This window comes from Homo sapiens, chromosome 16 (assembly GCF_000001405.40).
Source record: "Homo sapiens chromosome 16, GRCh38.p14 Primary Assembly".
In the NCBI taxonomy this organism is placed as follows: Eukaryota; Metazoa; Chordata; class Mammalia; order Primates; family Hominidae; genus Homo; species Homo sapiens.
Window position 1 is genome coordinate 16214672 of NC_000016.10, and position 25034 is coordinate 16239705.

Consider the following 25034-nt stretch of genomic DNA (forward strand, 5'->3'; position numbering starts at 1 on the left):
TCGGCTCCCTGCAACCTCTGCCTCCTGGGTTCAAGTGATTCTCCTGCTTCTGCCTCCTTAGTAGTTGGGATTACAGGTGCCCACCACCATGCCTGGCTAACTTTTTTAAAATATTTTTAGTAGAGATGGGGTTTTGCCATGTTGGCCAGGCTGACCTCAAACTGCTGACCTAAAGTGATCTGCCTGCCTTGGCCTCCCAAAGTGTTGGGATTACAGGCATGAGCCACCATGCCCAGCAGGTCCTAATTTTCAAATACCCAATTTATAATATTCTGTCTATACAAATGGTGGGCCAGGGCTGCGTCTGGGTTTTGTCCTTAGCCACATGATGATTGGCCACAGCTGCTGGGACAATGAGATGAAGAAACAATTTACCTTCTTCTTTGTGCCACAAAAGAAATCCTTTCTCCGTTCCACCCTCTACCCCAATCTTCAACCCTGCTCCCCCTTGGCCAGGGTTCTCTGTTTTGCAGAGATGAGAGCTGGTTTTATTGAGCACTGACCCTGCCCTGAGCACATGCGGCATTCTTGCCATACACAGTCTCATCAGCTGGAGTTTACTTGCTTCCTTTGACTCAGGGGGAAACCAAGGCTCAGAGAAGTGACAGCACCTTGTTCAAGGACACGCAGATGATCTGGTCCAAATTGTGATGCTCCTGCTGCCACACCACAATGATTTTTGCATCTGCTGCCCTGTCATCTGGTCAGAAACACCCTAATTTTCTTTCTTTTTTTAATTTAAAGCATTTTTTATTTTTTAATTTTAGGTGTGTGTGTGTGTGTGTGTGTGTGTGTGTGTGTGTATACTTTTTTTTTTTTTGAGACGGAGTCTTGCTTTGTCACCCAGGCTGATGTGCAGTGGCATGATCTTGGCTCACTGCACCCTCCGCCTCCTGGGTTCAAGCGATTCTCCTGCCTTAGCCTCCTGAGTAGCTGGGATTACAGGCATGTGCCACGACCCCTGGCTAATTTTTGTATTTTTAGTAGAGATGGAGTTTTACCATGTAGGCCAGGCTGGTCTTGAACTCCTGACCTCAGGTGATCCGCCTGCCTTGGCCTCCCAAAGTGCTGGGATTACAGGCATGAGCCACCGCGCCCGGCCTGATATATATATTTCTGGATGACGTGAGATATTTTGATACAGGCATGCAATGCATAATAATCACATCAAGGTAAATGAGGTCTCCATCCCCGCAATCATTTATCCTTTCTGTTACAAATGATCCATTCTACTCTTGTAGTTATTTTATTTTTTAGTTTATTATTGAGTTGGAGTCTCACTCTGTTGCCCAGGCTGGAGTGCAGTGGCTTGATTTTGGCTCACTGCAACCTCCGTCTCCTGGATTCAAGTGATTCTCCTGCCTTAGCCTCCTGAGTATCTGAGATTACAGATGTGTGCCAGCACGCCTGGCTACTTTTTTTGTATTTTTAGTAGAGACAGGGTTTCACCATGTTGCCCATGCTGGTCTTGAACTCCTGACCTCAGATGATCCTCCTGCCTTGGCCTCCCAAAGTGCTGGAATTACAGGTGTGAGCCACTGTGTCCAGCCTCTTTTAGTTATTTTAAAATGTACAATTAAATTATTATTGACTATAGTCACCCTGTTGTGCTATCAAATAGATATTATTCTTTCTGTTTTTTTGTACCCATTAACCATCCCCATTTCCCCCACCCACTGTCCTTCCTAGCCTCTAGTAACCTTCCATCTACTCTATATGTTCATGAGTTACATTGTTTTAATTTTTAGCTTTCACAAATAAGTGAGAATATGTAAAGTTTGTCTTTCTGTGCCTGGCTTATTTCACTTAACATCCATGTTGTTGAAAATGACAGTACCTCATTCTTTTTTATGGCTGCATAGTACTTCATTGTGTATATATACCACATTTTCTTTATCAGTTCGTCTGTTGATGGACACTTAGGTTGCTTCCAAATCTTGTTTATTGTGAACAGTGCTGTAATAATCATGGGAGTGCAGAGATCTCTTCCATGTACTGATTTTCTTTCTTCCTAAGTTTTTTGCTTGTGTTCGGGCGTGTGATTTGTGCAGAACTGACTCTACTCCGAGGCTGGGTGGGTGAATGAGGCCTGGCCAACGAATACGTTCTGGTCTTTTGGCTACCATGGCAGGGTTAGGAATGCACATAGCACCCCATGCTGGGTACTTGAGAGCTGGAACCATCGGGAGATTCTGCTGGCTTTGCTACATGCTAGAATGTAAGTGTGAAGGTATTGGTGGCTCTTCTTGCCACTCCATTGGAGAATCAAGCTAACATGGCAGAGCCAAGAGGCAGAAGTGGAGATCTGGTGATGGTACCTGGTCCCAGGCCTGGATCAGTCATGCCTGGGAGATCCCATGGGTATGAGCTAATAAATGCATGAGCTAATGAACCCCCTTGACTTACCCTTTTCATTAAGCTAGTGTGAACTGAGGTTTTATGGCTTTAAACCAGAGCCCTAGTTTTAAATCATGATTCCTCTACTGGATTTTATACTCTTCTAGTTTTGGGTTTTTGTTTGTTTGTTTGTTTTTTGGCAGATAGCAGACAATTGGATATTCCAATGACAATATGGCCCATCTTCCCTAAACTCCCACTGTTTTCCCCACTGTTTCTCTCAGAAAGTTTGTTCTGAATTTGCCTGAGATGAACTCGGGCTCTGCACTCCCAAGCTTTGTGGCCCTGAGGCCGTCATTCCCTTCTCCTAGCCTTAGTCTCCCTCATCTTTAAAATGGGACGGCTAGAATTCATCATTGGCTGGGGCACATTGGCTCAAGCCTGTAATCCCAGCACTTTGGGAGGCTTAGGTGGAAAGATCGCTTGAGCCCAGGAGTTTGAGACCAGCCTTGGGAACATAATGAGACTTTGTTTCTATTTCTATTTAAAAAAATAAAGAACCCATCACTGTGAACTCTTGTGAGAATCCAGTGAGGAGACGTGTGTAAGTGCCTGCCACAGTGCCTGGCACATGGTTGGAACCCCAGAATGTATATGGTCCCAGTATTATTGTTTCTATGCTGTGTCCCAAAAAGCTGACTTATGTCAACTGTGGGAGCCCACCATTTCAGAAATTACTGAATAACCTGTGGAATTTCCCCTTAGTTACAAAGGTTACTCTTTTAAAAACTCTGTCCTCGGTCAGGCGCTGTGGCTCACGCCTGTAATCCCAGCACTTTGGGAGGCCGAGGCGGGTGAGTCACTTGAGGTCAGGCATTTGAGATGAGCCTGGCCAACATATTGAAACCTTGTCTCTACTAAAAATACAAAAATTAGCTGGGCATGGTGGCACATGCCTGTAATCCCAGCTACTTGGGAGGCTGAGGTATGGGAATCGATTGAACCCGGAGGTGGAGGTTGTAGTGAGCCAAGATCGTGCCACTGCACTCCAGCCTGGGCAATAGAGCAAGACTCTGTCTCAGAATGAACAAACAAAAAATAAAAACTCTGTCCTTAAGGACAGGGTGATGCTTCTCTACCTTCTCCTTTAGGGGCAGGATGGAGTAACCACTGGACTGAAGAAATGATCTGTGAGTCCAGACGTGGTGGCTCATGCCTCTAATCCCAGCATTTTAGGAGGCTGAGGTCAGAGAATTGCTCGAGCCGAGGAGTTCAAGATCAGCCTGGGCAACAAAGCATGATGTTGTCTCCACAAAAATAAAATAATGAAGTAAAATATCTGAAACCTGCTGCAGCCTGTTCATTGGTGTTAAGATAACTCCCTCTCCCAGAAGCCTTGGCTAAGCACACTGTCGAGGCCAGTGCTTCTCAATAGGTGGGTGACTTTGTCCTCCTCACCCCCAGGGACACTTGGTAATATCTGGAGACATTTTGGGTTACTGCAATTGGATGGTATGCTACTGGCACCTATGGGCAGAAGCCAGGGATGCTGTTTCACACCCTGCAGCAAACAAGACAGCCCTGTCCACCCAACAAAGAATTGTCTGGCCACAACATTACTAAAGCTGAGGCTGAGGGAAGTTGGTCTAGGCTACATGTTTTTCTCTTTACAGAGAAAATGACCCATCATGTCTCCTAATAGAGAAACGCTGCTTCCGGCCGAATGACAAGAGCTCACGCCTGTAATCCCGACACTTTGGGAGGCCAAGGCAGGTGGATCACTTGAGGTCAGGAGCTCGAGACCAGCCTGGCCAACATGGTGAAACCTCGTCTCTACTAAAAATACAAAAATTTTTAGTAGAAATTTAGTAGAAATTTTTAGTAGAAATTTAGTAGAAATTTAGAATAAGCCAGGTGTAGTGGCACACACCTGTAATCCCAGCTACACAGGAAGCAGAGGCAGGAGAAGTGCTTGAACCCGAGAGGCAGAAATTGCAGTGAGCTGAGATCATGCCACTTCATTCCAGTCTGGGCGACAGAGCAAGCCTCTCAAAAAAAAAAAAAAAAAAAAAAAAAAAAAAGCTGCTTCCCAGATTGGGCAACAGAAATACGAGTGGTGTGCAGAATGAGTGTGTAAATATAGGTGCATAGGAACATGGGGAGGGTGAATCCATGACATGAGGGGAGGTGTGCACGGAGGGGTATGTGTGCACACAGGTGTGTCTGTGCCCAGGTTGTGTGTGTGTGCGTGCATGCATGTACTTGTGCGATGTATGAATCAGTGCCTATAAGTGTGTGCATCGTGTGCAAGTGGCACGTGTGATGTGGGCCTGTAAGACAGGAAATTGTGTTGATAAGAAATGTATGGGATGATGGGTACTGACAGGTGCGGGAGTGGATTTTGTGTCTCTAGAGTGTAAGTGACTGGCTTGTGTGTGTCACTGTATAGAGAATAAGTTGTATGTGGAAACAGGAGGAGAAAGGAAGGGACCCAAGGCATGAGCCACCATTTTGGTTTCCCAGGGTGGCCCACGCCCCGACTTACCGCTCCGGAGGCCTGCTGGGCAGCGTTGGTAGCTGGCAAGACAAAGCAGAGAAGCCAGTAACCAAACAGCACTCCAGATGACTGGACTCCCTTTTTCCTCTCGGTGTGAATCAGGAACACTGCGAAGCTCTGGACGGGAAAGTCAGGGAGGCCCCTTAGGGGAGGGTGGGAGGCTGAGGGGAGCCTCTTCTCTTCCCCTTGTTCTCCACTGTGGCAGGCAAAGCAGCAGCTGGGAGGAAGCCGGGCTCCAGACTGAAGGCATCATTACCATCGTGGTGAGCCACACAGTAGGATGAATGAGGAATTCTGGGGCCTCAGGCGTTCCCTGTTGGATTTTCCAAAGAGCGACAGCCACGCTGGAGGTACACAGGACTATGAGGGCGAATCCAAGCACCTGAGGATACAGGCTTAGATAAGCTTGGGGGGCAATAAGAGAGGTCACAGCAAACTGGTAGGCGGCCCCATGTCCAACTGGGAGCTGGTTCTGCAACATCCTGGCTGATACTGAGTATACCAGGGTCACCAGCTAGCAACGTGCCAATGTGAACAATGTGTAAAGGGCATTGCAGATCACTCCTGACCTGTAACTGTCATATAAATAATGCACAGGAAGGGCTTGAGCCAACCGAGTGTTTTCCAAAATGCAGGAAGTGCTCCAATCGTGCACATATGAGATGACTGTGGGTATGGAGAAACAGCAGGAAATGAAATGTACTCACCAGGTAAAAAACTATCCTTTCTCCAAGTCATTTTTCAATCCCTGCTATGAAATCAAGGAGCAACTCTCTGTTGGGCCAGTAAGTCTCTAGGGTCTCTCTAATATATTTTGGTTTCTCTATTGAATAAAAGAAAGGAAGAAAATGAGAGAACGTGGGCACACCAGAGGGAAGGCCAGAGCTAGGTTACGTTGGAGGAACTGCTCAAAGAACCTCAGTTTAAAGCAGAAGTTGGCAAACTATCAATCATCAAAGAAAAACAAAAAGCATATGTCATGACAGGTGAAAATTACATGAAATCCAAATTTCAGTGACTACAAATAAAGTTTTATTGAAACGCAGTCGGCCGGGGGTGGTGGCTTACACCTGTAATCCCAGCACTTTGGCAGGCCAAGGCAGGCAGATCACCTGAGGTCAGGAGTTGGAGACCAGCCTGGCCAACATGGCGAAACCCTGTTTCTACTAAAAATACAAAAAAATAGCGAGGTGTGGGGGTGGGCACCTGTAATCCCAGCTACTCGGGAAGCTGAGGCAGGAGAATCACTTGAACCCAGGAGGCGGAGGTTGCAGTGAGCCGAGATCGCACCATTGCACTCCAGCCTGGGTAACAAGAGCAAAACTGCATCTCAAAAAAAAAAAACAAACAAAAAAGTAACACAGTCATGACTATTGTCTATGGTTATGACTATTGCGTTCATTCTGGAATGGCAGAGTTCAGTGTTCGGAAGGAAGATTACCTGGCTCACAAAGTCTCAAATACTGTGTACCGCTTGGCTCTTTAAGTTTGCCAACCCCTGGGTTGGTGGCGGGTGATAATGTAAAAATTAATACAATGGCAGAAGAATGAATGAACTCTGAAGAACATTCTTTGGAAGCCTACAAGAATGGAGTAGAAGAGGATGGATGAGCAGAAAGGCTCACACTTGGAATGCCAGTGTTTATTTAACACACTAAGGTAAATACATATCACATATAAAAATTGTCCTATAATACAGCCAGTGGGGGAACATAAAAATAAATGCATAACTTTTTAAAAGGTTCATCCTAATGTGGCTCTAAAATTACCTTGTGTATCCAAGAGTCTACATGGTATGTTTTGGAAAATGCCAGGTTATGGTAGCTATAAACTGTCCAGGAACATGGGAGTGTATGCGTATGTTTGCGCATGCGTGGATTTTCGGAATTACAAAATCTGTTTGGGAGAACCGTGTTCCACTGAGTTGACCTCTGTAGCCTTTCTAATATTGCTCTGTTTGATTAACAGATTCCCTTCTACACCCCGATAGGAGGAGTCTACTTTAAGACTTCACCAGGTTCCAGCCTGTCCCCTGCCTCCCCCGAACATTGCCTGGTTCCAGGCTCCCAGGGATGGCAGCTACCATCTTGGCTTTGAAGAGTGGGGACATCCGGAGGTAGCCCCGGCCATGGTGGTGGATGAAGAGGAGGTAGATGGGACCAAGGACCCAGAGGTACATGGGGGGTACCCAGACCCCTGCTGTTCTCAGGAAGCACAGGCTCAGCAGGCTGGTGGCGGCAGGTTCAGGCTCTGTCTGGTTCCAGACCTGAGGGAACACAAAGAGGACCCTTAGGATGGTACAAGGCAGGGGTCCCCAGCTCACCTGCCCAGGGGGCCAGGCAACTTTTTGGATCTTTAACATTTACACAAAAATGTACCAAGTACTCTTTGGAATACCTACTAATTCTCAATTCCTTTCATCCTGACATTAACCCTAGGTAGTTGCAATTATATTGATTTGCAGATGAAGAAGCTGAGGACCAGAGAGGTTGAGTAACTTTGCTGACTTTACCCAGCTGAGGAGTGGAAGGGCTGGGATTTGAACCCAGGGAACTGGGCCATGTGGTCTAGGAGACCTGGGCTCCATAATCATTGCTAGGCATGGACTGTCAGTTAATCCTTATAACAACTCCAGGACGCAGACAGTACTGTCTCCATTTCAGAAACCAGCAGACTGAGGCACCAGTCGGGGAACTGCCTCCCCCAGGGACACACAAATGGGAAGTGGCAAAGCTGACTCTGACCCAGGCTTATCTGACCCCAAACCTCGTTCGACTGGTGGTCTTGATGTATGATTTGTTTTTATTTTTTATTATTAATTAATTTATGTTTTAGAGACAGGGTCTCACTCTGTTGCCCAGGCTGAAGTGGCACAATCAAAGCTCAACAAAGCTTCGAATTTCCTGGGCTCAAGCAATCCTCCCACCTCGGCCTCCCAGAGTGCTGGGATTACAGGCATAAGCAGCCTCACCAGGCCTGGCTAATTTTTTTTTTTTATGTTTTGTAGAGATGGGGGTCTCTCTATGCTGGTCTCGAACTCCTGGTCTCAAGCAATCCTCCTGCCTCAGCCTCCTAGGTACTGGGATTACAGGCAAGAGCCACCGGCCCAGCTTGATCTGTTATTTTCATCTCAGCAGGTCTGCTGGTCCTATCTAACCCTAGAAGAAATTTGAAGTTTAGTGGACGTGGCCTCTTCAATTCTCTCTCCGCTGTCTTTTTACTCCTCCTGGTTTCACAACTCACCGGCTGTGCAAACTTTAACCTCTCTGTATCTCAGTTTCCTTCCCTGTAAAAGGGGGAAAACGAGACTCTACCTCTATGAGTTGTATTAAATGGATTAATAGCAGCAAAGTTCATAGCAGCATGGCACAAGGTTGGGCACAAGGCTAGGCACAGAGAAAGCCCTCAGTTCATTGCCAGTTTATTGCTTCAACTCCCTGGCCCTCGAAATGCTGGCAGTTTGCAACCCCCACCCCCACTCCATGAACTCCACTCCCTGGAGTCCTTTGCTAAGAGCAATGGAAAAAGAAACCAGAGAGGTAAGGGCTCTCCGGGGGTAGGAGGGCTTGGGGGACCCACTAGCTTTATGCAAAGAAGAGTCAAAGCCCCTAGTAGCTGGGAGGTCTGGTGGCCCCTTAAATAGAGCTGGGCTCTCGGCTGCTGGCTTGGTGAAAGAAATCCAACCCGCTGCAGTGAGGGGGCCGGAGTAAGTCTCCTCGCTTCCCGGGTCCAGGAATTTGGGGGTCTCTCCTCTCCCCAGTATCGCAGCCCGAGAGATCTGCAGCCAAACCAAGCCTGGAAAAGGAGAGTGGGGCGCGATGGGGGGCACTCACCCCCTGCCCCGCGCAGGGCTCAGCAGGCGCGGCCATCGGCGCCTTCTGTCGTCGTGGGTCCCAGCGTCTGTCTGTCGCTAAGTCTCTGGGCAGACTGCTCGGCCGCGATCCTGCCGGAGAAGAGGCGGGGCTGGGCTGGTCGGGCTGGGCTGGTCCGGCTGGGATTCGAGCTCCGGGATCGGGAGGCCCCGGGCAAGGTCCAGCTGCGCGGCGGGAGTGAGGCCACGGGAGGTGAAAACAGGCGAGGTGGGGGATGGGGGAAGAGAGGCGCTCGGGGAGCTGGGACGGGCACCGGGTTGGGGGGTCCCGGAACCCCTGAAAGTTCAGTGACACCTCCATAGTTCCCTCTTCCCCCTGCAACAAGAATCACTCCAGACTTCCTAAACACTTTGGACCCAGCAATTTCCAGGAGTTCATCCTGATGAGAGAACTGAAAGGTGTGCACACGTTAGTAACAAGGAGGCCTGGTGACCGCCTAAGCGTCCAATCGCGGGGACCACCGGGTCGAGGCCGAGAGGATGGAGACCGCGTCACAGGCACCTCGCTGCTGGAATGGAGGGTGGTGGGGAGAACTTAGAAGATTATGCAATGGGCTGGCAGGGCTATACCCAGCCGCCCTGGTAAGCAGAAACTCAAGAAACCTCTAGGGTCCTGTTTTCTGGTCGTATGATCCCAGGAGTGCACATGGGCCCCTCGGGTGTCTGAACAGAAGGGCATAGGAGGGAGGGCCGCAGCCCTGCAGTCTTACTCTGCTGGTGTAGCGGTCACCTGCCAACTCCCACCCCACCCTGCACCGCGGGCTCCTGAGTCGGCAGATTAAGCATTTTATAAATTCTATTTTAAATACGTGTTTTAAACTTGTCAGATATTTGTCTTCATTTCAGTCCCTGCGCCTCTACCTCTTGCTGTGGTCGCTTATTTAACACTGGGGGGCTACGTTCTGCTAAGTCCCAGGGAGAGACTGTTCCTAATATCCGAGGGAGATATTATTCCTAATATCACGCTGGGTGAACACCACGTGTGTACAGCCTCTGATACGATTGGTAATATCCAAGGGAGATATTATCCTAACATCCCAGTGGGTGAACACCATGTGTGTAAACGCTGTGGTATTATTAGAAATATCCAAGGGAGATATTACTCCTAATATCACAGTGGGTGTACATCCTGTGATATTATTCGTAATATCTGAAGGAGATTTTACTCCTAATATCACAGTGGGAGTACACACTGTGATATTATTTGTAATATCCGAGGGAGATTTTACTCCTAATATCACAGTAGGTGTACAACCTGTGATATTATTCATAATATGCTAGAGATATATTACTCCAAATCTCATGGTGGGTGTACACTCTGTCATAGAATTCGTGATATCCTAGGGAGTTATTACCGCTAATATCACAGTGAGAGTACACCCTGTGATATTATTCATACTATCCTAGAAAGATATTACTTTTAATATCACAGAGGGTGTACACCCTGTGATATTATTCATAATATTCTATGAAGATATAACTCCTGATATAACCGTAGGTGTATACCCTGTGATATTATTTGTTATATCCTAGGGAGATACTACACCTAATACCACAGTGGGTGTACACCCTGTGATATGATTTGTAATATCCTAGGGAGATATAACTCCTAATATCACAGAGGGAGTACACCCTGTAATATTATTCATAATATCCTAGAAAGATAATACTTTCAATATCACAGTGGGTGTACACTCTGTGATAATATTCGTAATTTCCTAGGGAGATACTACTCCTAATATCACCTTGAGTGTACACTGCGTGATATTATTCGTAATATCGTAGGGAGCTATTGCTTTTAATTTCACAGTGGGTGTATACCCTATGATATTATTCATAATATCTTAAGAAGGTAGTACTCCTAAAATCACAGTGCCTGTACACACTGTGATATTATTCATAATATTCTAGGGAGATGTTACTCCTAATCTCATAGTGGGTGTACACCTTGTGATACTATTTGTAATGTTCTAGAAAGATATTCCTTTTAATATCACAGTGGGTGTACACCCTGTGATATGATTCGAAATATTCTAGGGCGATATTACTCCTAATATCCCAGTGAATTTACACCATGCGTGTACACGCTGTGACCTCCCAGAAAGATATGACTCCTAATATCACAGTGGGGGTACACCCTGTGCTATTATTTGTAATACCCTATGGATATCATAATATCACAATGAACGTACACCATTGTGTACATGCTGTGATATTATTTGTAATATTTTTGGGTGATATTACCCCTAATGTCACAGTGCGTGTACATCTTTTGATATTATTTGTAATATTCTGTGGAGATATTGCCCCTAATATCACAGTGGGTGTATACTCTTTGATACTATTCGTAACATCCTGGAAGATATTATCCATATTGTCACGGTGGGTGTACACCCTGTGATATTATTCGTTATATTCTGGGGATATACTATTACCCCTAATATACTGTGGGTGTACCCCCTGTGATATTATTCACTATATCTTGGAGATATAATATTACCCCTAATATCACAGTGGGTGTATACTTTGTGATATTATTCATTATATCCTGAAGAGATATTATTTCCTTTAATATCACAGTGCATGTACACCTTGTGATATTATTTGTTATATCCTGGGGAGATACTACTATATTACTCCTAGTATCACAGTGGCTGTACGCCTTGTGATACTATTCATTATATCCTGGGGAGATATTATTACTCCTAATATCACAGTAAGTGTATACCCTGTGATATTATTCATAATATCCTGGGAGATATTACCCATATTGTCACAGTGGGTGTACATCCTGTAATATTATTTGTAATATCCTGGGGAGATATTATTACTCCTAATAGCACAGTGGGTGTACACCCTGTGATATTATTGGTTATATCCTGGGGAGGTATTATTATTCCTAATATCACAGTGGGTGAACATTCTGTAATATTATTCATTATATTTTGGGGAGATATTAATTCCTCTAATATCACAGTGGGTGTACACCCTGTGATATTATTCATTATATCCTGGGAAGATATTAATCCCTCTAATATCACAGTGGGTGTACACCCTGTAATATTATTCATTATATCCTGGGAAGATATTATTTCCTCTAATATCACAGTGGGTGTACACCCTGTGATATTATTTGTTGTATCCTGGGGAGATATTATTATGTCTCATATCACAATGGGTGAACACCCTGTGATAGTATTCGTTATATTTGGGGAAGATGTTATTACCCCTAATATCACAGTGGTGTACACTCTGTGATATTATTCATTATGTAGTGGGGAGATAGTATTACCCATAATATCACAGTGGATGTACACCCTGTCATATTATTTGTTATATCCTTGAGAAATATTATTATTCCTCTTATCACAGTGGGTGTACACCCTGTGATATTATTCGTTACATCCTAGGGAGATATTGTTACCCATAATATCACAGTGGATGTACACCCTGTCATATTATTCGTTATATCCTTGAGAGATGTTACTACCCCTAATATCACAGTGGGTGTATACCCTGTGATATTATTCATCAAATTTTCTGGAGATATTATTACCCATAATATCACAGTGTGTGTACCCACTGTGACAGTATTGATTATATCTTGGGGCGATATTACTCTTAATTTCACAGTGGCTGTATCCCTGTGTTTACACCCTGTGATGTTATTCATAATATTTTAGGGAGATATTACTCCTAATATCACAGTCAGTGTATACCATGTTTGTACACCCTATGATATTATTTGTAATATTTTAGGGAGATATTACTCCTAATATCGTTGTGGGTGTACAGCATGTTTGTAAACACTGTGATATTATTCATAATATCTGAGAGAGATATTACTGCCAATATCACAGTGGGTGTACACCCTGTACACCGTGTGATACGATTCATAATATCCGAGGGAGATATTACTCCCAGTATCACAGTGGGTTAACACCCTGTGGTATTATTCATAATATTCGAGGGAGATATTACTCTCAATATCACAGTGGATGTACACCCTGTGATATTATTTGCAATATCCGAGGGAAACATTACTGCTAATATCACAGTGGGAGTACACCCTGTGATATTATTTGTTTTATCCTGGAGACATATTATTCCTATTATCACAGTGGTTGTACACCCTGTGATATTCTTCGCTATATTCATGGAAGATGTTATTACCCCTAATATCACAGTTGGTGTACACCCTGTGATATTATTCGTTATATCCTGGGGAGATATTGTTACCCCTAGTATCACAGTGGGTGTACGCCCTGTCATATTATCCATTACATCATGGGAAGATATTATTACATCTAATATCACTGTGGGTGTACACCCTGTGATATTATTTATTATATCCTGGTGAGATGTTATTACTGCTAATATCACAGGGTGTGTCAAATTTTCTGGAGATATTATTACCCTTAATATCACAGTGGGTGTGCACCCTGTGTGTACACTCTGTAATATTATTCGTAATATTTTAGGGAGATATTACTACTAATATCACAGTGGGTGTACACCCTGAGGAGATATTACTTCCTCTGATATCACAGTGGGTGTACACCCTCTCATATTATTCGTTATGTGCTAAGTAGATATTATTACCCCTAATATCACAGTGGGTGTACACCCTGTGATGTTATTCCTTATATCCCAAGAAGATATTATTATAACTAATATCACAGTGGGTGTACACCCTATGATATTATCTGTTATATACTGGGGGGATATTATTTGTAATATTTTAGGGAGATACTACTCCTAATATCATAGTGGGTGTACTCATATTTTACAGATATATTACTTTTAATATCACAGTGGGTGTACACCCTGTGTGTACACCCTGTAATATTATTAGTAATATTTTAGGGAGATATTACTCCTAATATCATAGTGGGTGTACACCATGTTTGTAAACCCTAGGATATTATTCATAATATCCGAGGGAGATATTACTCCCAATATCACGGTGGGTTTACACCCTATGATATTATTTGTAATATCTGAGGCAGGTATTACTCTCCATATCACAGTGAGTGTACACCCTCCTATATTATTCATAACATCCGAGGGAGATATTACTTCCAATATCAAAGTGGGTGTGATAATATCTGAGGGAGATATTATTCCTAATATCCGTGGGAGATATTATTCCTAATATCTCAGTGGTTGTACCGCGTCACAGTGGGTGTGCACTGTGTGATATTATTCATAGTATCCAAGGGAGATTTTACTCCTGATATCACAGTGAGTGTACACCCTGTGATATTATTCTAATACCCAAGGGAGAGCTTTCTCCTAATATCACAGTGGGTGTACACTCTGTGATATTTTTCATAATATCCGAGGGAGATAGGATGGAGACCACGTCACAGTCCCCTCACTGCTGGAATGGACACTGTCTACCCGTGGAGTGGTGGGGAGAACTTAGTGAGATTATGCAAGCGTTTAGCACACTGCCAGATATACATTAAATGCTCAGAAGACTTAGCTTTTATTATTACTGTCATAATTGAGGCCATGGGTTACTAACCAGTGGTTTAAAATGCCATTGCAGCTGGGCACGGTGGCTCATGCCTGTAATCCCAGCACTTTGGGAGGCTGATGAGGGCGGATCACTTGAGGTCAGGAGTTTGTGACCAGCCTGGCAAACATAGTGAAACCCCGTTTCTACTAAAAATACAAAAATTAGCTGGGTGTTTTGGTGCGTGCCTGTAGTTTCAGCTTCTCAGGAGGTTGAGGCAGGAGAATCGCTTGAACCTGGGAGGCGAAGGTTGCGGTGAGCCAAGATTGTGCCACTGCACTCCAGCCTGGGTGACAGAGCGAGACTCTGTCTCAGAACAAGCAAACAAAATGCCATTGAAGACATATATGAATATGAAAAGGTGCTTGCTAAATGATGATTGAATAAAAGAGATTATAATATAAAATAGGCTTTGGTTTTTTTAAAGCAAAAAAGAAAAGGATATGCCTAAATTAGGGAACATGGAGAAGAAGGCCAAGGCATTTACCTTCCTCTCTTGAGTCTTTTTCTCTCTCCGTCTCTGTTTTTTTTTTTTTTTTTTTTGAGTCAGGGTCTTGCTCTGTCACCCAGGCTGGAGTGCAGTAGTGCCATCATGGCTCACTGCAGCCTTGACCTCCTGAGCTCAAGCAACCTTCCACCTCAGCCTCTCCGGAGTATCTGGGACTACAGGCACACACCACCAAGCCTGGCTAATTTTTAAATTTTTTTGTGGAGACTTGTCTCACTTTGTTGCCCAAGCTGCTTTGGAACTCCTGGCCTCAAGCCATCCTCTTGCCTAGGCCTCCCAAAGTGCTGCGATTACAGGCGTGAGCCACCATGCCCAGCTCTCTCTTGGGTCTTAAAGCAAAGTGTCAAAGACCCAGCCACCACTTCTTAGAAATGACTCGATGTCATACTAGCATAAATGCATCGATAAAAAGATGGAAATGTGGTAACACAGTGATCTTGGGGAATCCTAGTTTTCTTTTCCAATTTCTTTGTTGTTGCAGTGAGCAAGTACTTGTTTCAAGATAGGAATGAAATATTCGGCTCTTTTAGACAGACAAGCACAGGTGCTCAGTTTGGGAGAAGAATTAAAATCCTCTGCACTCTCCATGCTGCCTTGCTAATTCTTGGGGTCCTGTCCTCATCTTCTACTCTTGCCTTCTGCAGGGACCCCACAGTGTGTTTTCCCCGATCTTTTTGTATCACTCTAAATCCAGTATTGGGCCCAGGGAGCACCCCCTCCCCTGCCCCCTTCAGCTGTCCTCCTGCCTGAGTCTTCTGGAAGCTTCGGGACAGAAAGAACCCAAGGATTTGTCATGAAGCTCAGTGTGGCAGGTCTACTGTTTCCATGTAAATCATGTCTGCTTATCTGAGCTGGTTTTGGTGGAAACTGATGGAAATTATGGGGAAGCTAAATCCCTGTCTCTCTGCAAGCCACTCCCCAATCCCACCCCCATGAATTGGCATTGTCACAGTCCTGGTGCTTCATTTCTTTCTATATTTGAAGATGAATTTGAGGGAAATAGTCAGAAAGTCAAGAAGAACACAGCAGAAATCAATTGGGGTGAGTCCAGAACAAAACTTGGGGATCCCACTTCCTGCTTTTTTTTTTTTTTTGAGATGGAGTCTCACTCTGTCGCCCAGGCTGGAGTGCAGCGGCAAGACCTCAGCTCACTGCAACCTGTGGCTCCCTGGTTCAAGTGATTCTCCTGCCTCAGCCTCCTGAGTAGCTGGGATTAGAGGCATGCGCCACCACACCTAGCTAATTTTTGTATTTTTAGTAGAGACAGGGTTTTGCCATGTTGGCCAATTTGGTCTCGAACTCCTGACCTCAAATGATCTGCCCACCTCGGACTCCCAACATGTTCATATTACAGTAGTAAGCCACGGCTTCTGGCCCCAATTCCTGCTCTCTAGCTCCGGGAAAACCTGTGGCTGCATGCAGAGTCTTAGACAACTTCCTTTTCCTCTCTGGGCCTCAGTTTCCCATTCTGTAAGATGAGAGGTTTCCATAGGCCTACACTTTCTAATTGGTGGCTTTCAATCCTCTGGTGATTTGCATAAAAGGCATCTATTTCAATTGTGGTTATAAATAACAAACCCCAATAAATAGACGAATTATTTAAATGGTTTCTCATTATCACTGAATAGTTGAGAGTCTACTGTATTTGAGTGAAAATGCAGCACGAGAAACTGAAATCAGATGCGCTCATGATTATGACCCTGAGGTCAATGTGTCATTCCCTTCATTCCCTCCTTGCCCCCATGAAGGTTTGACTACTGTATGGTTTGAACCTGTGCTTCTTAGTTGTTTATTGCTTAAGTTTTAGCCACAACGGCAAATTGCAGCGGGAAATTCAGTCTTACTTTGTCATTTGGAAACAAAATACAAAACCTATCAAAATAAAGCACTAGCTTTTTTTTTTTTGAGACAAAATGGAAGAAATCCTAATATTAGGTTAGAAAAGCAATTTTTTGGTGTTTTTAAAATTTTATTTATTTATTTTTTTGAGACAGAGTCTTGCTCTGTCGCCCAGGCTGGAGTGCAGTGGTGCGATCTCGGCTAACCGCAAGCTCCGCCTCCCAGGTTCACGCCATTCTCCTGCCTCAGCCTCCCGAGTAGCTGGTACTACAGGCGCCCGCCACCACGCCCGGCTAAGTGTTTATATTTTTAGTAGAGACGGGGTTTCACTGTGTTAGCCAGGATGGTCTCGATCTCGTGGCCTCATGATCTGCCAGCCTTGGCCTCCCAAAGTGCTGGGATTACAGGCGTGAGCCACTGTGCCCGGCCTCTTTGGTGTGTATTTTGATGTGGTGACTGGTAGTTAAATTCAGTGTACATATGAATTCACTCTTGGGACAAAATATGCTGGATTTGAGCTTGTTTTCAGGCAAATCATGTTTCATCTTGCAGAGCTAATTCAAAGTATACTGACTGCATGCACTTCTTGCTTAGGGGAAGAAAACTCATCAAAATTTGTTTCTAGGCATATGTTATTAGAGCTAGGATTAAAATAAATCTTACATACTTTCTTTAATATGCTAACATTAACACGTTTCGCTTAAAAAAGTATCGATCATTTATCATGGAAAAATACACCAGCTTACACAAATTCCTAAAGCGTTTTTCGTGTGTGTGTGTGTGTGTGTGTGTGCGTGTGTGTGTGTAGAGATGGGGTTTCGCCATATTGCCCAGGCTGGTCTCGAACTCCTGGGTTCAAGCGATCCACCCACCTCAGCCTCCCAAAGTGCTGGGATTACAGGCGTGAGCCACACACCCGGCCCTAAAGCTTTTTGTGAGATTATATATTTTACCTGCGAAATATATGGGTCAGAAAGATTTGAGAAAGTTGTTAGATAATTCCACCAACGAAATCTCCCGTCCTTTCCAGCTGTGATGGTGAATTCTAAAGTAGAATTCATCTTTGGAGCTTCTCCCTGTAGGCATGCACCTTGCGTTGCACCTGCCAGATGTCGCGCGGAGTCCTCCAGGCCTCTAGAAGGCAGAGATGGTCTCGTTTCCTTGCCGAGCATGCGCCTTAGTTCTCTCTTCTGGGGCTGTGACCGTGGGGTCGAAGCGCGCGTGCGCGGCGGCGGCTGGCGGCGGCGGTGGGGCGGGGCCTGGGCTGTCAGCCGGCCTAGGAGGAGGAAGGAGCCTGCGGCGTGCAGTGTGAGGGGCGGGACCCGGCTGCCGGCGGTGGGTCTAGCTGGGGGAGGTCGGGCCATGCTGGTGGGCCAGGGCGCGGGGCCGCTGGGGCCCGCGGTGGTCACCGCCGCGGTGGTGCTGCTGCTGAGCGGCGTGGGGCCGGCGCACGGCTCGGAGGACATCGTGGTGGGCTGCGGTGGCTTCGTCAAGTCGGACGTGGAGATCAACTACTCTCTCATCGAGGTGAGCGCCCGCCCCGCCGCCCGGCGCCGAGTCGCCGGGCCGGTGGTTCAGCCTCTCTGGGCCGCGCTGGCCTCGTCTCTGACACCGGGCGGTGTGGAGTCCTTGGAGCCCTTACCTCTTCCGAGGCTATGCTGTCCGCGGGCTCCCTGCAGCCCCTCCCCAGTCGCGCTGGAGGGGAGGTTCTTATCATGGGGTCGTCTAAGGACTGAGGGGTGCCAGACCTCAGGTTCTTCAAAACCCCGACTCCAGATCCCCGGAACACAGACCCCAGATCCTCAAAACCCAGACCCTAAATTCCCTGGAGCCCAGACTCCATTTCTTTAAAACTTAGACCTGAGATCTCCTCGAATCAGACCCCCTGAAACTCAGATTTCCCCAAACCCACATTCCAGAACCTAGAGACCACATGTCTTATCCCCCAAACTCCACAGCCCAGAACCCCCCGAAGTTCTAATCCACTGCTCCTCCAAACCCCGCGGCATGATTTTAAAGAGCATCAATTCCCATCCCATAGATACTGACCTAGTAGATCAGTATTGGCAACCCTGGGGCCGGAAAGCTATTTTTTATTTCTCCGGCTCCCCTCCACTTCTGAAAATGGAGAGTTGCCAGCTGCCCTGATTGCCTTAATGAGTAGTTAATGGAATTACCCTAGAGATTTGTGCTGAAGGTTTTTTTTTTTTTTTTTTTTAATTAAGTTGTAAAGTCCTGTTAAATGTTTATCAGCCCGGTGGGATTATGACCCAGAAAGGTTCCCGTAAAGAGGAAAGGGATGGATGGAGGTAGGGGCAGAATGTCATTTGTCCCGGTAGATGGGAGGGGACCAGAGCAAGGCCTGGGCCTCATTTTTGGGAGGGGATTTATGGTGGGGTAGGACAAGGAAGAGGAAAAGAGCGGGTGCCTCGGAGGTAATTTAGGAGAAAACGAAGGAAGAGGCTGGGAAATGCCAAAGAGAGGGATTGGGGAATAAGACCCCAAAGATCGTCTGAAAGCACCTTTGAGCTGTTCCAGGGCTGGCAGTGAAGGGTGAAGCTCTGTGTTCTGCAAAGCGGGCTGCTGAGGATTGGGGGAGGGGTAGGGAGTCAGTTCCACACCCCACCAGCTCTGCGACCTGCCCTTGCTCTAGGTTTCAGTTTTTGTACCTATAGGATGGTGTTGGGAGAGAAACAGTGGAACCCAGCAGATACATTTCTTTAACAAGCGGATCCGTGATCTTCTTCAAGGCCCCCTTGTTTGCTGCTTTTTCAGACTGAAGAGGTCAGAGGTCAGGCATTGAATGAATCTACCCACTGGCAGCGGCAGGGCTCCTAGGATTTCCTGGGTACATGTTTCTGGGTGCCCATGCCACCTCCTAGGTCTGCACTGGGGACAGGACACGTTCAGGGTGGTATGGCTGTAGACGGCACAGGGCATTTCAGAAGCTGAAATGCAAGAGGCCGCTAAGGCCTCTTGCAACTTGTAGTTTCCAGGGGTTCTGGAAGGAAGGAAAAGACAGGCACCCCCCTCCACCCTCACCCTCATACTAATAGTGACCTTGAGAGCAGAGAACAGGTTTTGTGACCCATTTCAAAGTGTGTTCCTTAAGCCCAAGGGCTGCCTGTCCAGATGGTGTGGGACACTCATTCTTTCATAAGTAATTCAGATTCTGAAATCAGACATTTCATACTGGCCATCTTGATGTAGATTACATTGCCATCCTGTGTCCTGATTGTACTTTATGAAAGATGTAGAAACAATCATGATATTTCACGGTTATTTCTTGATTGTGTTTTTTGTGTTCCTATGCAACTGCCGCCATTCTTCTCTAGCTTTCTCCCATCCTGAGTGTTTTTACATCGTGTTCATTGAGTCAACAACTATTTACTGAGCCCCGGCACATACTGAAGCCTTGTCCCCAGTGTGGATATAGCAGTACAGTGAACAGAACAGACAAAACTCCATACTCTCATGAGACTGACATTTTGTTCTCTAACAGGGACCTTACTGTTAAAAAAAAAAAAAATTATACTGGTTGCTAATACTTTAACAATCAGCAGGTTTCACATTAAAAACTGGGTGCTTTATTTCTCTGGAAAGCCAGCCGATCTTTAGGCTGCCACACTTGGCTTGGGTTTTGTAGTGATCTGAATCCTTTTGGATGAATGTCCCTTGATGTTGCCTCCCTAACCGGTCTAGTCTGGTGAATTTCCAGTCCCTGCCTTAAATGCATGCATCTGAATCTCTTTGTCACCTGTAGCAAATTCACTGAGTACCTAGAGTAAGCTAGACACTGTCTCAGGCACTGGGGAATGAAGTTGTCACTGACCTCAGAGAACTTTACATACAGGCTTAACCTTATTTCACACGAGTCCTTTCCCAAATGTTCAAATGTTCGTTTTATGAGTTAGTCACTTTGTACATCATCTTAGCTGGTGAGATTCGACTGTTTCATAGCGGCTCGTGTCATGGTTTGTTTCATGGTCATAGAGCATTAACATTTTGGAGGTGAGGCTTTTAGGTGCATCAGACCCAACTGCTTCCTTTTACAGACATGGAAACTGAGCCTCAGAGTGGTTGAGCTGTGCAGGTACATTTAGGAAATTTTCCTTGAGCCCAGTATGTTCCCTACGTATTACACTGTGTTGCCTTTTTCTTCAGAGAGAGATATTAAATAGTGATACAAACTGCTTTTTCCATTTTACTTATTTTATTTTGTTTTATTTTGAGGCAGGGTCTCACACTGTTGCTCAGGCTGGAGTATAGTGGCACCATCATAGCTCACCAAAGCCTCTGACTCCTGGCCTCAAGCAGTCCTCCTGCCTCGGCCTCCTGAGTAGCTGAGGCTACAGGCACGTGCCATCATGCCTAGCTAATTTTTTTTCTAGTAGGGATGAGGTGTGGCTGTGTTGTCCAGGCTGGTCTCCTGGGCTCAAGTGATCCTCCTTCTTTGGCCTCCCAAAGTGCTGGGATTACAGGCATGAGCCACCATGCCTGGCCGCAAACTGATTTTTCTTTGAATCCATATTCTGTAGCAGGTGCTTAATATGCATTGATGTGAATCTGTACAACCACATGAAAAGGAGTGGCTCTATGTCTGCACCTGAAGAAACCGAACACGAGCTTGCCCAAGGCCACGCAACACGTGGAAGACTCAGATGGCATTTGGGCATCTTACTGGGTTAACACTTCGTGTCTGGTAATGCTCAGAATGTAAGAGTTTTAGAGAGTCCTTGAAGAGAGGACAGATATTAAATGTCTTTTTAGTCTCTTTTTCTTCGGAGAATGAAAGTAATGAGAAAATTAAGTTTCTAGATGAATGTTGCTCCAAGTATTTGAAATTATTCAGAGTTAGTAAGGAAGATTTCTGGCCCTCATTGCAGACCTTTAGTTGAGAAATAGAGGTGGGCCCCAGGAATTTGCAATTTATTTTACTTTATTTTATTATTATTTTTGAGACGGAGTCTTGCTCTGTCTCCCAGGCTGGAGTGCTGTGGCATGATCTTGGCTCACTGCAACCTCCGCCTCCTGAGTTCAAACAATTTTCCTGCCTCAGCCTCCCAAGTACCTGGGACTACCGGTGCCTGCCACCATGCCTGGGTAACTTTTTTTGTATTTTTAGTAGGGACAGGGTTTCACCTTGTTGGCCAGGCTGGTCTCAAATTCCTGACCTTAAGTGATCTGCCCACCTCACCCTCCTGAAGTGCTGGGAGTACTGGCATGAGCCACCGTGCCCAGCCAGGAATTTGCATGTTAATAAGCACCTTACTAATGGCAAAGTTTGCAAATTTGTTTTAGACCCGGAAACTTACACGAGCAACCTAGAGGCAGCCACTAAAATAAACAGAAAAGCATTGAAAAATAAGGCATTGTAATAGGCTGTAGGTGGTTTCTAATCTGAAAAACATTGAGTCACATGATTTGGGAGAGAGTTTGTTGATTTCCCTCTGTCCCCAGTAATGCCCCGTGTTAAAAGCTGGCATATAATAGGTCCTCAGTGAATGTATACTGACTGAGTGCATTCAGGTGTAACATGTGTAGTTAATTCCCAAAGGCAATGTTATGATTTCTGTTTTCCTTCCTTCCTTTCCAGATAAAGCTGTACACCAAGCATGGGACTTTGAAATACCAGACAGACTGTGCCCCTAATAATGGTTACTTTATGATCCCTTTGTATGATAAGGTAAGAGGGGACTGCTTGTCACTTATGATGGGAAGTCACTAGTGTGCCTCACCAGGCTGCATTAACCATGTCCTTTCCTACACTAGCAAATGCTCATCTGTTTTGTAAATTATTAGTGGAATATGATAATCCTAGCCACATTTGGAGGGAGACAACTTACAAACTGCCTTGACGAATACAGTGGCTCTCTCTGTGTTTAGGACCATTTGGCAATGTCTAGAGACGTTTTTGTTGTGACATCTGTGGCTGTGCGCTACAGTCACCCAGTGAGTAGTGGCCAGGCGTGGAGCTAAATGTGCTACAGTGCTGCCTACGACAGCCCAGATGTCAGTAGTGCCAGGGCTGAGAAACTCTGATTTCATGGAACCCGTTACTTGCAAGCAGCTTAAAGTATTGTTAAAAAAATTGTACAAGTAATACATGAATTCATGAACTTTGTGAAAAAGAAAGTCAAGGTCTTTAGAAGTATGTGAAATAAATTTGTACCCTTTTCGCTCCAATTTTACCTCCCTCTGTAGTGATAACCTCTGATAATCTGATAAAGGTTTTTTTTGTTGTTTTTTTTTTTCTTCTTTTGAGTTGGAGTCTCGCTCTGTCGCCCAGGCTGGAGTGCAGTGGTGTGATCTTGCCTCACTCCAACCTCCACCCCCCAGGTTCAAGCCATTTTCCTTCCTCAGCCTCCTGAATAGCTGGGATTACAGGCATCTGCCACTACACCCAGCTAATGTTTTGTATTTTTAATAGTGATGGGGTTTTGCCATGTTGGCTAGGCTGGTCTCGAACTCCTGACCTCAAGTGAACCACCTGCCTCAGCCTCCCAAAGTGCTGGGATTACAGGTGTGAGCCGATGTTTCCGGCCCTCTTATAAAATTTTGATGTGCATCCTAACAGATTGCTTTCTATTTATAGTTATTCAGATATCCACGGGTACACATGCATATGTATATATGGAAATACACACAAGCACACATGCACATCGATATGTATCCACAAACACCTCTATACAATCCCATCCTCCCACATATAAACCTTTTATTTGGAAATACAGATTCATAGGAAGTTGCAAAAATAGTCAATACACATAGTTTTGATTTTGATATATTTTTTAATACAAATGAAATCAAACAATAGGATTTATTCTGCAGTTTCATTTTTTCCCCTGTGTTAATGCTTTCAATACCAGAGGGACATTTGGTTTTTTCCTCTTGCATGCTTTCAACATTAGCATAGATAGATCTACTGACTTTTTTTTTTTTTTTTGAGACAGAGTCTCACTCTGTCAGCCAGGCTGGAGTGCAGTGGCGCGATCTCGGCTCACTGCAACCTCTGCCTCCTGGGTTCCAGTGATTCTTCTGCCTCAGCCTCCCAAGTAGCTGGGATTACAGGCACCCACCACCATGCCCAGCTAATTTTTTTTGTATTTTTAGTAGAGATGGTGTTTCACCATGTTGGCCAGGCTGGTTTTGAACTCCTGACCTCAGGTGATCCGCCCACCTCAGCCTCCCAGAGTGCTGGGATTACAGGCATGAGCCACCATGCTCAGCCTACTGACTTCTTTTTAATGGCTGCATAGTGTGTCAGAGTCAAACCCAAACTGTAATTTATTTAACTACTTGGACATATAGACTTTCCCCAATTTTAAAATAATAGTAATTTTAACATAACACACCAGGAAATATTCTTGAACTTAACTCTTCATCCAGAATGCATAGGATTGATTTCTAGAGATGGACTAGCTGGGTCTGTCCTGAAATCTATTTAATTAATTTTTAAATAGTATCAGTATCAGTCTCAAGAAACCAGGAGGCTGGACGTGGTAGCTCATGCCTGTAATCCTAGCACTTTGGGAGGTTGAGGTAGGTGGATCGCCTGAGCTCAGGAGTGTGAGACCAGCCTGGGCAACATGGTGCAACCCCGTCTCTACTAAAATACAAAAAAATTAGCCGGGTGTCACGTGGATGCCTGTAGTCCCAGCTACTTGGGAGGCTGAGGCAGGAGAATCGCTTGAACCCAGGAGACGGAGGTTGCAGTGAGCCAAGATCGCACCACTTCACTCCAGCCTGGGCAACAGAGCGAGGCTCCATCTCAAAAAAAAAAAACTAAAACAAAAACAGAAACCAGGGTTGATAAGTAAAATCTAGTTTTATTTATTGAATTAATGAGTTAACGTATTGTTTAGAGACAGGATCCCCTTCCGCTGCCCATGCTGGAGTGCAGGGGCACAATTATGGTTCACTGCAGCACTGACCTCCTGGGCTCAAGTGATCTTTCTGCCTCTTCCTCCTAAGTAGCTAAGACTGTAGGCGCCTGCCACCACACCCAGCTAATTTTTTAAGAACATTTTTTGTACAGATGGGGTCTTGCTATGTTGCTTAGGCTGGTCTTGAACTCCTGGCCTCAAGTGACCCTCCTGCCTTGGCCTCCCACAGTGTTGGGATTATAGGTGTGAGGTACTGTGCCTGGCCAAATCTAGTTTTAGGGGGTGCCTTTAGTTCCTGAAGATACATGCTAACTTGTGCAACTGTAGGCATGTGAGGGCTTAATGGGAGACTCAATTAATAGAATTATAGTATGTTTAGTATTAAAAGACAGTGAGTGGCTGAACCTAGTGTCTTTAGAACTCATGAATGGGCTTCAGCACTGTCTTCTGATTGTTTAGATGAAAACTTCTGGTGTTCAGCTTCAGCTTGTAGCTTCTGAAGAGAATCAGTGCTC

The 25034-nt window shown here is 45.3% G+C and overlaps 2 protein-coding genes across 11 annotated transcripts in view; one reads left to right on the top strand and one right to left on the bottom strand.

Annotated features, from left to right (window-relative positions):
* ABCC6 (ATP binding cassette subfamily C member 6) overlaps window positions 1–8823 on the bottom strand; it is a 73930-nt gene extending 65107 nt beyond the window's left edge. For 5 of the 9 annotated variants that reach the window (NR_199643.1, NR_199642.1, NM_001440310.1 and 2 more), the window contains exons 1-4: window positions 8728–8823; window positions 6978–7160; window positions 5151–5276; window positions 4883–5011 (exon numbers count right to left, since the gene is read on the bottom strand). Coding sequence is in view for 5 of the 9 variants with exons in the window: in NM_001440310.1 (NP_001427239.1) it covers window positions 4883–5011; window positions 5151–5276; window positions 6978–7160; window positions 8728–8763 (474 nt within the window). In the remaining 4 variants the exon portion in view is untranslated. 9 annotated transcript variants of the gene reach the window in all.
* NOMO3 (NODAL modulator 3) overlaps window positions 17857–25034 on the top strand; it is a 62284-nt gene continuing 55106 nt past the window's right edge. For both annotated transcript variants that reach the window (NM_001004067.4, XM_005255318.2), the window contains exons 1-2: window positions 17857–18160; window positions 22230–22319. In NM_001004067.4, the coding sequence (NP_001004067.1) occupies window positions 17996–18160; window positions 22230–22319 (255 nt within the window). In that variant the 5' untranslated portion in view covers window positions 17857–17995. The remainder of the gene's footprint in view (window positions 18161–22229; window positions 22320–25034) is intronic.